General features: G+C 43.9%; 1 protein-coding gene across 10 annotated transcripts in view, besides 1 other annotated feature; it reads left to right on the top strand.

Annotated features, from left to right (window-relative positions):
- Nucleotides 1-13,011, top strand: part of NVL (nuclear VCP like) — a 102,828-nt gene that overhangs the window by 81,165 nt on the left and 8,652 nt on the right. For all 10 annotated transcript variants that reach the window (NM_001243146.2, NM_206840.3, XM_017001383.2 and 7 more), the window contains one exon: nt 12,426-12,502. In NM_001243146.2, the coding sequence (NP_001230075.1) occupies nt 12,426-12,502 (77 nt within the window). The remainder of the gene's footprint in view (nt 1-12,425; nt 12,503-13,011) is intronic.
- Nucleotides 3,305-3,354: an enhancer, noted in NCBI's record as "active region_2604". NCBI's record gives its function as "activates an Ori minimal core promoter by ATAC-STARR-seq in GM12878 lymphoblastoid cells {active_cell/tissue: GM12878}" and the evidence as "EXISTENCE:reporter gene assay evidence [ECO:0000049][PMID:35858748]".

Genomic DNA, 13,011 nt, shown 5'->3' with positions numbered 1-13,011 from the left:
TTAATCCTTCTGGGGATGAAATCACTTGTACCTGGACCCGCTCTCTCCATCCAGTTGGAGATACCTCCCCCCATGGGAGCTGTCCCACTCCCATGGGATTGTACCCAGTTCTGTCCAGCTCCCTGGAAAGTGGCATACCTTGGCAGTTCTTCCTGAATCTGCTGAAATCCCTTGATTGTGTGTGTCTAACTTTTTCTAGAGCTATCTTCTCCTCAGGCTGCTTGTCTCCAGCTTGGAATATTAATAGACATCACAAGATTTTGTTAACTTACCTTCTTTCTTCAATACTCCTTCCCAGGAATGGACGCCTAATTATCAGCCACTTTCAAATTTTCTCTTCGCACCCACTTTTCAACATTTGCAGCATGAAGGTTTACCCCTTTCTTTGGTTGCTACTGGTAAATTGTTTAACTTTTTTTAGTATTCTTTTGATGCTGACAAAGGAAGATTCTGTGATCCTGCCTCACTGGGCCATCGTTACTTAAAACTGCCTTTAGCAATGTTCCTAAAAATCACCCCGAGGAGGGAGAACAGGGCAGATGAGAACAGAAGAATGATCATCTTTGTAGGGTAGAAAGATTCTATTGATGCACAGTATGGAAAATAGCTTGGAAGCCAGTAAAGTAAAAGTTATGAAATTAAGCATGTTAGAACTAAGGCAATATGACTGAGAAACATCAATGAAAAAGAAAAAATAACGAACTAAGGCATTATCACGGGAATAACAAAGAAGATATAGACATGAGAACTGTTTAAAGGTTTTAATTAGTAGGACATTGGATTAACTGTAGAGTTGGGAGTTAAAGGAAAAGGTAGATGAATTTGCAGCTTGTGCAGCTGGTGGCATCTACCAGGATTAGAGGTCTGGGAGATGAGCTCTCTGAGTTTCAGGTGCCTGGGCACTATCAAGTGGAAAAGTTGAGCAGGATGTTGGGTCTGTGGTTGGGAGTTCAGGAGAGTCCTCTGGCTGGGCTATAGTTTTGTCTGTCTTCAGGACATAGCTGGTGGTCAAAGCCATGAAAACATGTTGCTTTAGTTTAGTAGTTCTCAACCTAAGGCAATTTTCCCACCACCCCACCTCACGTCCCCAGGGAACATTTGGCAATGTCTAGGGACATTTACCACTACGCAGAGGAGTGATCATGCTGCTAAATATTCCACAGTGCACAGGACAGCCAACAACAAAGAATTATCCAAGGCCAGGCATGGTGGCTCAGGCCTGTAATCCCAGCACTTTGGGAGGCTGAGACAGGAGGATCACTTGAGACTAGGAGTTGGAGACCAGCCTGGGCAACAGAGTGAGACCCTGTCTCTACAAGAAAACAAATTTTTTTTTTTTGAGACAGAGTGTCACTCTGTTGCCCAGGCTGGAGTGCAGTGGTGCCACCTCGGTTCACTGCAACCTCCACCTCCCGCATTCAGGTGATTCTCCTGCCTCAACCTCCTGAGTAGCTGGGATTACAGGCGTGCACCACCAAGCCCAGCTAATTTTTGTATTTTTAGTAGAGACGGGGTTTCACCACGTTGGCCAGGCTGGTCTCGAACTCCTGACCTCGTGATCCACCTGCCTCAAGTCTCCCAAAGTGCTGGGATTACAAACGTGAGCCACTGCGCCTGGCCAAGAAAATTTTTTAATTAGTTGGGCATAGTGGCATGCACCCGTAGTCCCAGCTACTTGGTAGGCTGAGGTGGGAGGATGGCTTAACCCCAAGAAGTCGAGGCTGCAGTGTGCCATGGTCACGTCACTGCACTCCAGCCTGAGCAACAGAGCTGAGACCCTGTCTCAAAGGAAAAAAAAGTATTATCCGACTCAAAATGTCAGTAATGCCAAAGTTAAGAAACCCTGCTTTGGTTGCATATACTTATTTCTTTGCATCAAACAAGCTTGATGATGACTGCATCATAGCATCTTCTCTCCCTTTCGTTGGCTCTGTTTTTTTTTTTTTTTTTTTGACACAGTATGTCAAAAAAAGAGACCCTGTTTGTTGCCCAGGCTGAAGTGCAGTAGCGTGATCTCAGCTCACTGCAACCTCCACCTCCTGGGTTCAAGCATATCTCCTACTTCAGCCTCCCCACGCAGCTGGGGCCACAGGTGCGTGCCACCACACTCTGCTAATTTTTTTTTTGTATTTTTAGTAGAGACGGGGTTTTACCATGTTAGCCAGGCTGGTCTCAAACTCCTGACTTCAAGTGATCCGCCCACCACGGCCTCCCAAAGTGCTGGGATTACAGGCGTGAGCCACCATGCCCGGCCTTCTTGGCTCTGTCATTAGGAACTATGGTCTTGAGATTTTGTTTGCTTTGGTCAATGTATGTGGATGTGTATGTATATACAAATAAGCACACACATATAATCCAATTTTGTTTCTATGAATTTCCTGTAGTCATGGTGACATAATGATAATGCTTTCACACTTGTCCTTGGGATTTCATGAACTAAAGAGAAAAGTTGGATTGGTATTTATTTCTAGACATGCCAGACATGAGGCATGTGGTATTCAGAGCTTTATAGATTTGGAACCAGAGAATGATTGGCTCATTCTTCCTGCTGTGTTTCATTCAATGTATGGTACTCACACCAGAACAACTTTATACTTCATTCATCTAGAATTTCAGTGCTATTTGCCAAAATCATTAGGCCTCAGACCAAAGGGTGAATATTTAAAGTACCCCACTTCGGCCAGGCACAGTGGTTCATGCCTATAATCCCAGCACTTTGGGAGGCCGAGGCAGGTGGATCACTTGAGGTCAGGAGTTCAAGACCAGCCTGGCCAACATGGCAAAACACTGTCTCTACAAAAATACAAAGATTAGCTGGGTGTGATGGTGTGCTCCTGTAATCCCAGCTACTCAGGAGGCTAAAGCAGGAGAATTAGCTTGAACCCGGGAGGCAGAGGTTGTGGTGAGCCGAGATCGTGCTATTGCACTCCAACCTGGGCAACAAGAGCAAAACTCTGTCTCCAAAAAAAAAAAAGTCATCTGGCATAAATGGGGTGGGTAACAGAGAGGAGCCCTGCAGCTTCCAAGCACAAAGTTGTGAATATGGAAGAAGAAAAAAATCAAAAAAGACATTTCAATAGAGGTCAACTTTGGCCGGGCATGGTGGCTCACACCTGTAATCCCAGCACTTTGGGAGGCCAAGGTGGACGGATCCCACCTCCCGAGTAGCTGGGATTACAGGCACGTGCTACCACGCCCGGCTAATTTTTGTATTTTTAGAGAAATGAGGTTTCACCATGTTGGCCAGGCTGGTCTGGAACTCCTGACCTGGTGATCCACCCACCTCGGCCTCTCAAAGTGCTGGGATTACAGGTGTGAGCCACCATGCTGGGCCAAAAGCAACTTTTGTAGATTGTGGTTTAGACTGCTGCATAGTCAGTCCTCAGCCTCTGTCTGTGCCAACGGCAGAAGGGCTTTTGTTAGTTTATTCTCTTTGACTTGAGAGTGCATTTTTGCTCCAATTCTGACTGTGTCCTATTCTAAGACTTGGAACCTCATTGGGCAGAGCTGCCCAGGAGGAGCAGGACCCACATGCAGCCTCCCTGTGCCCTGTCTGCCTGCGTTGGCCTGGTGCCCTCTCAAGAGAGCTGTTAGCAGTGCAATTTCACATCCTTATCTTACCTCATCCTTCAGAGGTCATGAATGTTTTTGTTTAAAAAGCTTTGTTGATGGCTAAAGCAGGGCAGATTGAGAGGAAGAGGAAGCACAATATCTAATTTCAGAGGGGAGAAGTCACAAGGCAGACTTCCTGCCCATGTATGTTCTTTGTAAGTCAACAGAAAGTGAGGAAAATTGGCATTTTTAATGTTTACCCTTTTTATTTCAGTTTGCTGGCTTTTGACTTTAATTCCTCAGATTGTTTTATATACAATTTTCTCTTTCTCCTATTAACATCTGAAATATTATAAGGAGATTAGAATAAAGATCTTTAGTCCTGTTCTTAAAAGTCTGAAATATTTTGTAGGTCAAAGCAACTTCTTCATATCTTTTGGGATCTAAGTTTTGTAAAAGAAGAGCGAGTGGGCCAGGTACAGTGGCTCACACCTGTAATCCCAGCACTTTGGGAGGCCAAGGCGGGCGGATCACGAGGTCAGGAGTTCGAGACCAGCCTGGCCAATATGGTGAAACCCCATCTCTACTAAAAATATAAAAATTAGCTGGGCGTGGTGGTGCGTGCCTGTAGTCCCGGCTACTCAGGAGGCTGAGGCAAAAGAATCACTTGAACCCAAGAGGCAGGGATTGCAGTGAGCCGAGATTACGCCACTGCACTCCAGCCTGGGCAACAGAGTGAGACTCCATCTCAAAAAAAAAAAATGGAGACCAGCCTGACCAACATGGCGAAACCCCATCTCTACTAAAAATACAAAAATTAGCCGGGCGTGGTGGCATGCGCCTGTAGTCCTAGCTAGTCAGGAGGCTGAGGCAAAAGAATCACTTGAAGCAGAGAGGTGGAGGTTGCAGTGAGCCGAGATCACGCCACTGCACTCCAGCCTGGGCAACAGAGGGAGACTCCACCTCAAATAAAAAAGAGCGAGCCATATACTACTTTTTTATATTTTTTATTTGGTATTTCTAGTGATGATGTGGTGATAAGAGGTCTATCACTAAAAGCTGCCTGAGAAGTAGAAATTTTTTTTTTTGAGACGGAGTTTTGCTCTTGTCGCCCAGGCTGGAGTACAATGGTGCGATCTCAGCTCACTGCAACCTCTGCCTCCTGGGTTCAAGTGATTCTCCTGCCTCAGCCTCCCAAATAGCTGAGATTACAGGTGTCTGCCACCATGCCCAGCTAATTTTGTATTTTTAGTAGAGACAGGGTTTTTCCATGTTGGCCAGGCTGGTCTCGAACTCCCGACCTCATGTGATCCGCCCTCCTTGGCCTCCCAAAGTGCTGGGATTATAGGCATGAGCCACCACGCCCGGCCCCCAGATTTTTTTTTCATAACTTCTACTTCCTTTTAAGTGTCATTAAAATATCTCAGAAAACCAGAAACATTATTTGATATCTGCCAAATACTTTCAGATAAAATACAGTCTTTAAAAGAGTGACAAGGCCGGGTGTGGTGGCTCACGCCTGTAATCCAGCACTTTGGGAGACTGAGACAGGCGAATCACAAGGTCAGGAGTTCGAGACCTACTTGGCCAAAATGGCAAAATCCCGTCTCTACTAAAAATACAAAAATTAGCTGGGTGTGGTGGCCGGTGCCTGTAATCCCAGCTACTTGGGAGACTAAGGCAGGAGAATCTCTTGAACCCGGGAGGTGGAGGTTGCAGTGAGCCGAGATTGTACCACTGCATTCCAGCCTGAGTGACAGATCGAGACCTCATCTCAAAAAAAAAAAAAAAAGTATGACTTAAGAATACCTGATATAATAATAGCTAACATTTATTAAGCCCTTACTCTGTTCCATGTAGTATTTTCATTTTACATTTATACACATGCTTAAACCTTGAAACTCCCTTTGAAGTGTATGTCTTACAAAATATTTAAATATTTTCCTTTTACTGATGAGCAAACTTTTTACAAACTTTTTTGTTGTTGTTGTTGTTGAGACAAGGTCTTGCTCTGTCACCCAGGCTGGAGGGCAGTGGTGCGGTCTTGGCTCGCTGCAGCCTCAACCTCCCAGGCTCAAGTGATCCTCCCGCCTCTGCTCCCTGAGTAGCTGGGACTACAGGAACGTGCCACCAGGCCTAGCTAATTTTTTTTTTTTTTTGTAGAAACAGGGTTTCACCATGTTGCCCAGGCTGGTTTTGAACTCCTGAGCTCAAGCGATGTACCCACCTCAGCCTCCCAAGGTAGAGGGTTACAAGACTGAGCCACTACACCCGGCCCTTTCATTAATTTTTCACAGTCGACTGTGTGAATAAAAATTGCTTCATGCAGAAGCTGGATTTTAAAATAAAAAATAAATAAATAAATAAAATTACTGGCCAGGTACGGTGGCTCACACCTGTAATCCCAGCACTTTAGGAGGCCAAGGCGGACAGATCACCTGAATGAGGTGATCTCATTCAAAAGTAGCTGGGTGCGGTGGCACACACCTGTAAATTCCAGCTACTCGGGAGGCTGAGGCAGGAGAATCGCTTGAACCCAGAGGCAGAGGTTGCAGTGAGCCAAGATCGCGCCGTTGCACTCCAGCCTGGGCAACAGGACGAAACTCTGTCTCAAAAAAAAAAAAAAAAACAAGCATTAATGATTCTAAACTCTGATGTGTAGTTAAGAATAGATTTAAGAATAAATTTGGTTGGGCATGGTGACTCACACCTGTAATCCCAGCACTTTGGGAGGCCGAGGCAGGTGAATCACCTGAGGTCAGGAGTTTGAGACCAGCTTGACCAATATGGTGAAAGCCCATCTCTGCTGAAAATACCAAAATTGGCCAGGCATGGTGGCGTGCACCTGTAGTCCCAGCTACTCGGAAGGCTGAGGCAGGAGAATCGCTTGAACCTAGTGAAGTGAGATCACGCCACTGCACAGCCTGGGCATAGAGTGAGACTCCGTCTCAAAAAAAAAAAAAAAAAAGAATAGATTTGTATGACCAAATGAAAATATTTGTTAAAATAAAAGTAGTAGCACATCTTGAATTACTTTTTGAACCTGAGTATTTCATAACATATAATGTTTAATACGAATTATAGGAAAATATCAGTGTAAATGAGCCATAACTTTTTTCAGATTTTAGTAAAATACTATAGATACATAACATAAAATTTACCATTTTAGCCATTTTTAAGTATATATTTCTGTGGCATTAAGTACATTCACATTGTTGTGCAACCATCACCACTACTCATCTCCAGAACTTTTGCATCTTCCCAAACTGAAACTCTGTCCCCATTAAACACAAACTGCCCATTCCTTCTTCCCTACCCCTGGCAACCACCATTCTACTTTCTGTCTCTATGCTTTGCCTATTCTAGGTACCTCATACAAGTAGAATCATACAATATTTGTGGGATATAACTTTTTTTTTTTTTGAGACGGAGTTTTGGTCTTGATGTCCAGGCTAGAGTGCAATGGCGTGGTCTTGGCTCACTGCAACCTCTGCCTCCCAGGTTCAAGTGATTCTCCTGCCTGAGCCTCCTAAGTAGCTGGGATTACAGGTGCCTGCCACCACACCTGTTTTTCTTTTTCTTTTTATTTTTTTTTTTTTGAGACGAGGTCTCACTCTTGTTCCCTAGGCTGGAGTGCAGTGGTTTGATCTCAGCTCACTGCAACCTCCTCTTCCCGGGTTCAAGCGATTCTCCTGCCTCAGTGTCCCAAGTAGCTGGGATTACAGGCAACTGCCACCACACCTGGCTAAGTTTTGTATTTTTAGTAGAGATGGTGTTTCACCATATTGGCCAGGCTAGTCTCAAACTCCTGACCTCAGGTGATCCACCCGCCTCGGCCTCCCAAAGTGCTGAGATTACAGGCATGAGCCACCACGCCTGGCCTATAATTTCCTTAAGAGACTATTTTCCTTCTTTTTCTAATAATTCCTTTAGCTTAGCTTTCTATAGTTACCAACCTATTTGAGATTTCCATTAGGGCCTTTATTAAAAAATAATATAATATTATCGTAATAGAGATAATGTCATAAAGAAAAACCAAATTAATTTAAGCTTCTAAATACTTCTAAATATCCTAGTACCATTTCAATAAATGATTTTCCAAAATCCTCATATTTTGTTTTATAAGCTCTTTATTATGCCATTTAAAATTTTTCTCTTTGCTCTCACTTGAGAATAAATAGAATTCATTTTAGTTCTTACTATAAGTCAGAAACATAACCACATTTCAATTAAAGAATAGTTAGATTTCAGTGATCCAAAGATTCCTTAGCCCTTATTTCTACTAATTAGAAAGTAATGTTGCTAATGAAACTTTTGGAGGTATCCTAGGTAGAGCACACCTCATGCCCTCAAAAAAAGGAGAGTTTGGCTGAGCGTGGTAGCTTGTGCCTGTAATCCCAGCACTTTGGGAGGCCAAGGTGGGTGGATCACCAGGTCAGGAGTTTGAGACCAGCCTGGCCAACATGGTGAAACCCATCTCTACTAAACATACAAAAAATTAGCCGGGTATGGTGGTGTACATCTGTAATCCCAGCTACTTGGGAAGCTGAGGCAGGAGAATCTCTTGAACCCGGGAGGCGGAGCTTGCAGTGAGCCGAGATCATGCCATCACACTCCAGCCTGGGCCACAGGGCGAGACTCTGTCTCAAAAAAAAAAAAAAAAAAAAAAAAAGGACAGTTTGTTACTTTCTTTCAAGTGAGGGTACTTGAAATTATTTCTTTTTCTAAAGGTTTAATCTTCTAAGAATTAGGAAACTTCTGAGAGTATCTAAACATATAACAGTGAATTCGTTTTGTGAAGTTCATACCCCACCTCATTTATTTATTGTGTTCCTTTATATACTGAGCTTTCTTTCACAAAAGATTTTTCTTAAACAAAGGATATGCTAAGAATAGGAAGCTGACAATTGCTCCCATTATGCAAATGTGAGGAAAATTCCTCCTCTGCTGGGCGCTGTGGCTCACGCCTGTAATCCCAGCACTTTGGGAGGCGGAGGCGGGCAGATCACAAGGTCAGGAGTTTGAGACCAGCCTGACCAACATGGTGAAACCCCGTCTCTACTAAAATACAAAAACTACCCAGCGTTGGCTGGGCACGGTGGCTCACGCCTGTAATCCTAGCACTTTGGGAGGCCAAGGTGGGTGGATCACCTGAGGTCAGAAGTTCAAGACCAGCCTGGACAACATGGTGAAACCCCATCTCTACTAAAAATACAAAAAATTAGCCAGGCGTGGTGGCGGGCAACTGTAATCCCAGCTACTTGGGGGGCTGAGGCAGGAGAATCGCTTGAACCTGAGGGGCGGAGGTTGCAGTGAGCTGAGATCGCACCACTGCACTCCAGCCTGGGCCTGTGACAGTGAGACTCCGTCTCAAAAAAAAAAAAAAAAAAAAAATTACCCAGCGTGGTAGCGCATGCCTGTAATCCCAGCTACTCGGGGCTGAGGCAGGAGAATCGCTTGAACCTGGGAGGCGTAAGTTGCAGTGAGCCGAGATTGCGTCACTGCACTCCAGCCTGGTGACACAGCGAGACAGAAAAAAGAAAAATTCCTCCTCTGGGTCCTCACAAAGAGAACACTAAGATGCGATGCACAATGTCTTTAACGGTATTTCTGACACAAACACAATAAGCCTCTTGGGACTGAGGCTTGTCATTTTCTTAATATAAACTGAGGGTATTACACAAAGCCAGTTCATTAAATACAATTTGATGAAGGTCCAAGAAATGCACTCTGAGGATGCACAGGACCTTGTGGAGGTCCAGCTTAACCCAAGGGTAGAATTTAGATATTGAGAAGTATAAAAGAATTGTCTTCTTATGATTCAGCTTTTGATTAAAACAGGGCACTGGATAGTTTGAGATTAGATTGTCTAACAGCACGCGGAGTGTCCTTAGGGAAGATCCGTACAGTTAATGTGACAGTGTGACAGTCGAGGTAAGTTGATAGGTTCTTAAAATCATAGAAAGCACCTAACAAGGGCTCCTACATAATGTGGCAGCCCCACCACCATAGCAAGAAAGTCTACGCTAGTCTTCATTTTAAGAAATCACTATTATATGTTCACTGATGCCCCCCTCCCCTCTCAAATATAGCACAAAATTATATATACTCATCTGGAAATAAGATACTTATCTATTAAGATACTTTAAAAAATTAAATAATAAAGATTAACAAAGTTCTATAAGGGCCATTCAGTTGCAAATTTGAACTTTAGAACTCAGGTTTTCTAATTCCTCGCCCAGTGTTACTTGCACTGTTTAGGTCTTTTTATTGAAGTATGATACACCTACAGAAAAGTGGTAAATGTAAAGTAGATTTAGAGATTCAAGAAAGAAATTAAAAAGTGGTAAATGTCCAGCTCCATGAATTGTTACAAAGTCTCCAGATCAAGAAAGAGAACACTCCAAGTCTAATTCATAGAACTATGAAGTACAATGGTGACTGCCAGAGGTTGGGAGGCGGGGGCAGGAAGAATGGGGAGTTAGTGTTTAATGGATGCATTGTTTTCTTTGGGAAGATAAAAGAGTTCTGGAGCCGGATAGGGGTGATACAACAATGTGGATGGACTTAATGCCACTGACCTGTACACAGAAAAATGGTTGAAATGGTCAGTTTTTTGTATGTTTTGCCACAATAAAATAGAACATTCCCACACCGACAAAAGCTGCCCTTCTACTTCCAGCCACTACCCACTTCTACCTGCCCCCAGGATTGACCACTATCCTGACTCGGTTGAAAATTGTTTACACTAAAAGATGCTTAGCAATCCTACATTCTGACCCTTTAGTTTTATTACTTAGAGAAAAAAGCACAAGATTGTTTGCCTAAGATCATAGTTTGTGTCCCAGGTCAAAATGGATTGAATGGGAAATTAACTGTTTCTTGAACCTGTGGTAGATAACATGTCCATTTTATTTAGTGATAGCAACTAACAGATGTATAATTTATGCAGTTCTTGAACATGCCCTGCTGGGAGGCAGTGAGACGCTGGTATGTGAGTGTGGGCAGAGCAACAGGTAACTAGTGCACAAGGCCGGCAGCTCCAGTCCTCTCAGCCAGGTCGCCGAACCCTGTGCCTGGAGCACTTTGCCAGGCTGACGTTTTACACTAAGAAAAGCTTACTGGGCAGGTGCTGTGGCCCTCACCTGTAATCTCAGCACTTCGGGTGGCCAAGGCGGGCAGATCGCTTGAGCTGAGGAGTTTGAGATCAGCCTGGGCAACATCGTGAAACCCCATCTCTACAAAAAATACAAAAATTAGCCAGGTGTGTGGTGGGTGCCTATAGTCCCAGCTACCCAAGAGGCTGAGGTGGGAGGATGGCTTGAGCCCGGGAGGTGGAGGTTGCAGTAAGCTGAGATTGCGCCATTGCACTAAGCCTGGATGACAGAGCCAGACCCTGTCTCAAAGAAAAAAAAAGAAAAGAGAAAAGCTTAATGGCTTGTGTTTATTCACTTTTGTGTGTGTTTCTTCTTTTTTTTTTTTTTTTTTTTTTTTGAAACCAAGTCTCCAACTCTCCAACTGTCACCCAGGCTGGAGTGCAATGGTGCGATCATGGCTTACTACAGCCTCCACCTCCCGGGTTCCAGTGATTCTCCTGCCTCAGTGTCCCGAGTAGCTGGGATTACAGGCACACGCCACCCCATCGCTCCTAGGAGACAGAGGTTGCAGTGAGCCAAGATCGCACCACTGCACTCCAGAGCGAGACTGTCTCAAAAAAAAAAAAAAGTAGCCAGGCATGGTGGCATGTAGTTCCAGCTCCTCGGGAGGCTGAGGTAGAAGGATCTCTTGTGCCGAGGAGGTCAAGTCTGTTGTGGTTGTTCCACTCACTCCTGCCTGGGCGACAGAGCAATACCCTGGAGGGAAGAAAAAGCTTGTTTTGTTTGCCTCTGCAGTTTGTCACTAAAAATATTATTAAACATAATGTATGCATGCAAGTTACTGGGTTAAGTGTTAAAATTCTGGGTTGGTTTTTTTTCCTCTACATCCAGTCTCATGAGAAATTCTAAGAGTTCTAAGTTACATACTTGTCATTGCTAATGTGTCTTGAAATGAGCTGAAGGGGAATTGGCACCAAAATCAAGATTGAGTGTTAGCTAAATGATTAAGAAAGAATATACTGAGCTTAGAGTGCTTTGTGCTTTTATTTTAGAGCAGATACTGCTCCTTCTCTCCTGGCCAGGTTCAGTATTATTTCTTCCGTCCTAGCCAGCCTCACACCAACACTAAGCATTGCTTAAGTATTTGCCATGTTTAAGCTGGAAAGGAAATGTGTTTCTTCACCTTTGGAAAGATCGAGGTGCTAGTTTTCATTCTTGTTGATGGTGTTTAGTATTTGCTGCAGCTGTACACAAATTCCTCAAACTTCATGAGCATAAATTGTTTGCCTTTAGCTTTCTCAAGTTTGGAATCTGCTTCTTAGCCTCATTTCTCAACATTGAAATTTGTATAAACCTTAACAGCACCAGTCTGGAAGTCAGTTATACTCATTTAGTCAAACAGCCATTATTAAGAACCTATTATGTAGATGAATATGGTCTTTATCTTTGAGACTCAGTCTCACTCTGTCGCCCAGGCTGGAGTGCAGTGGCATGATCTCTGCTCACTACAACCTCCACCTCCAGGGCTTGAGCAATTCTCGTGCCTCAGCCTCCCGAGTAGCTGGGACTACAGGTGCATACCATAACGCCCAGCTAATTTTTGTATTTGTAGTAGAGATGGGGTTTTACCATGTTCCACAGGTTGGTCTCGAACTCCTGACCTCAGGTGATCTGCCCACCTTGGCCTCCCAAAGTGCTGGGATTACAAGCATGAGCCATCGCACCCGGCATGGTCTTTAAAGCTCCAATGAAAAATCATTTTTCTCTCTTACTTAGAATGGTACCAAACCACCACTGGATGCAGATGTAAATTTGGAAGCAATTGCTGGTGACCTTCGCTGTGATTGCTATACGTAAGTGTTTAAATCTTAAGTCAATTCACTCTCTGGGGTTCAATTTCCTCATCTATAAAATGAGGGGTGATGATGCTCACCTCAGCAGATTGTTGGGAGGATTAAATGAGGTATCCCATGAAGCACATAAAGTGTCTGGCATCTCCCTTCTTAGAGAAGAGACTGCACATTTGGAGGCCCTGAAGGAATTCCTGGGAACAGGGGAGTCCTTTCATATGTTGACTCTTGGTACTTAACCTACCCTAACCAGCACTGCTGTCCTTTACAAATTGTACTGGTGCGTCAGCATTTAAAAGAGACTAATCTACAAGTGCCACATTTTGCAGCCCTCAGGATGCATTTTCACCTCCACATAGCCTGTAGTAACATCAGGAAATCTGACATTTCTGCCTTCATCCTTCCTATGTTTGTGTTGTTACAGTTATTAGTTTTTCTTCATATGTTTTGAAGTAAATTTGTTTGTTAACTTTCCCAATTTGGGGACACAGAGGGAGGAAATGAAACTCAAG

This window comes from Homo sapiens, chromosome 1 (assembly GCF_000001405.40).
Source record: "Homo sapiens chromosome 1, GRCh38.p14 Primary Assembly".
Classification (NCBI taxonomy): domain Eukaryota; kingdom Metazoa; phylum Chordata; class Mammalia; order Primates; family Hominidae; genus Homo; species Homo sapiens.
Note: the sequence above shows the minus strand (reverse complement) of the source record. Positions and strands in the feature narration are given on the sequence as shown.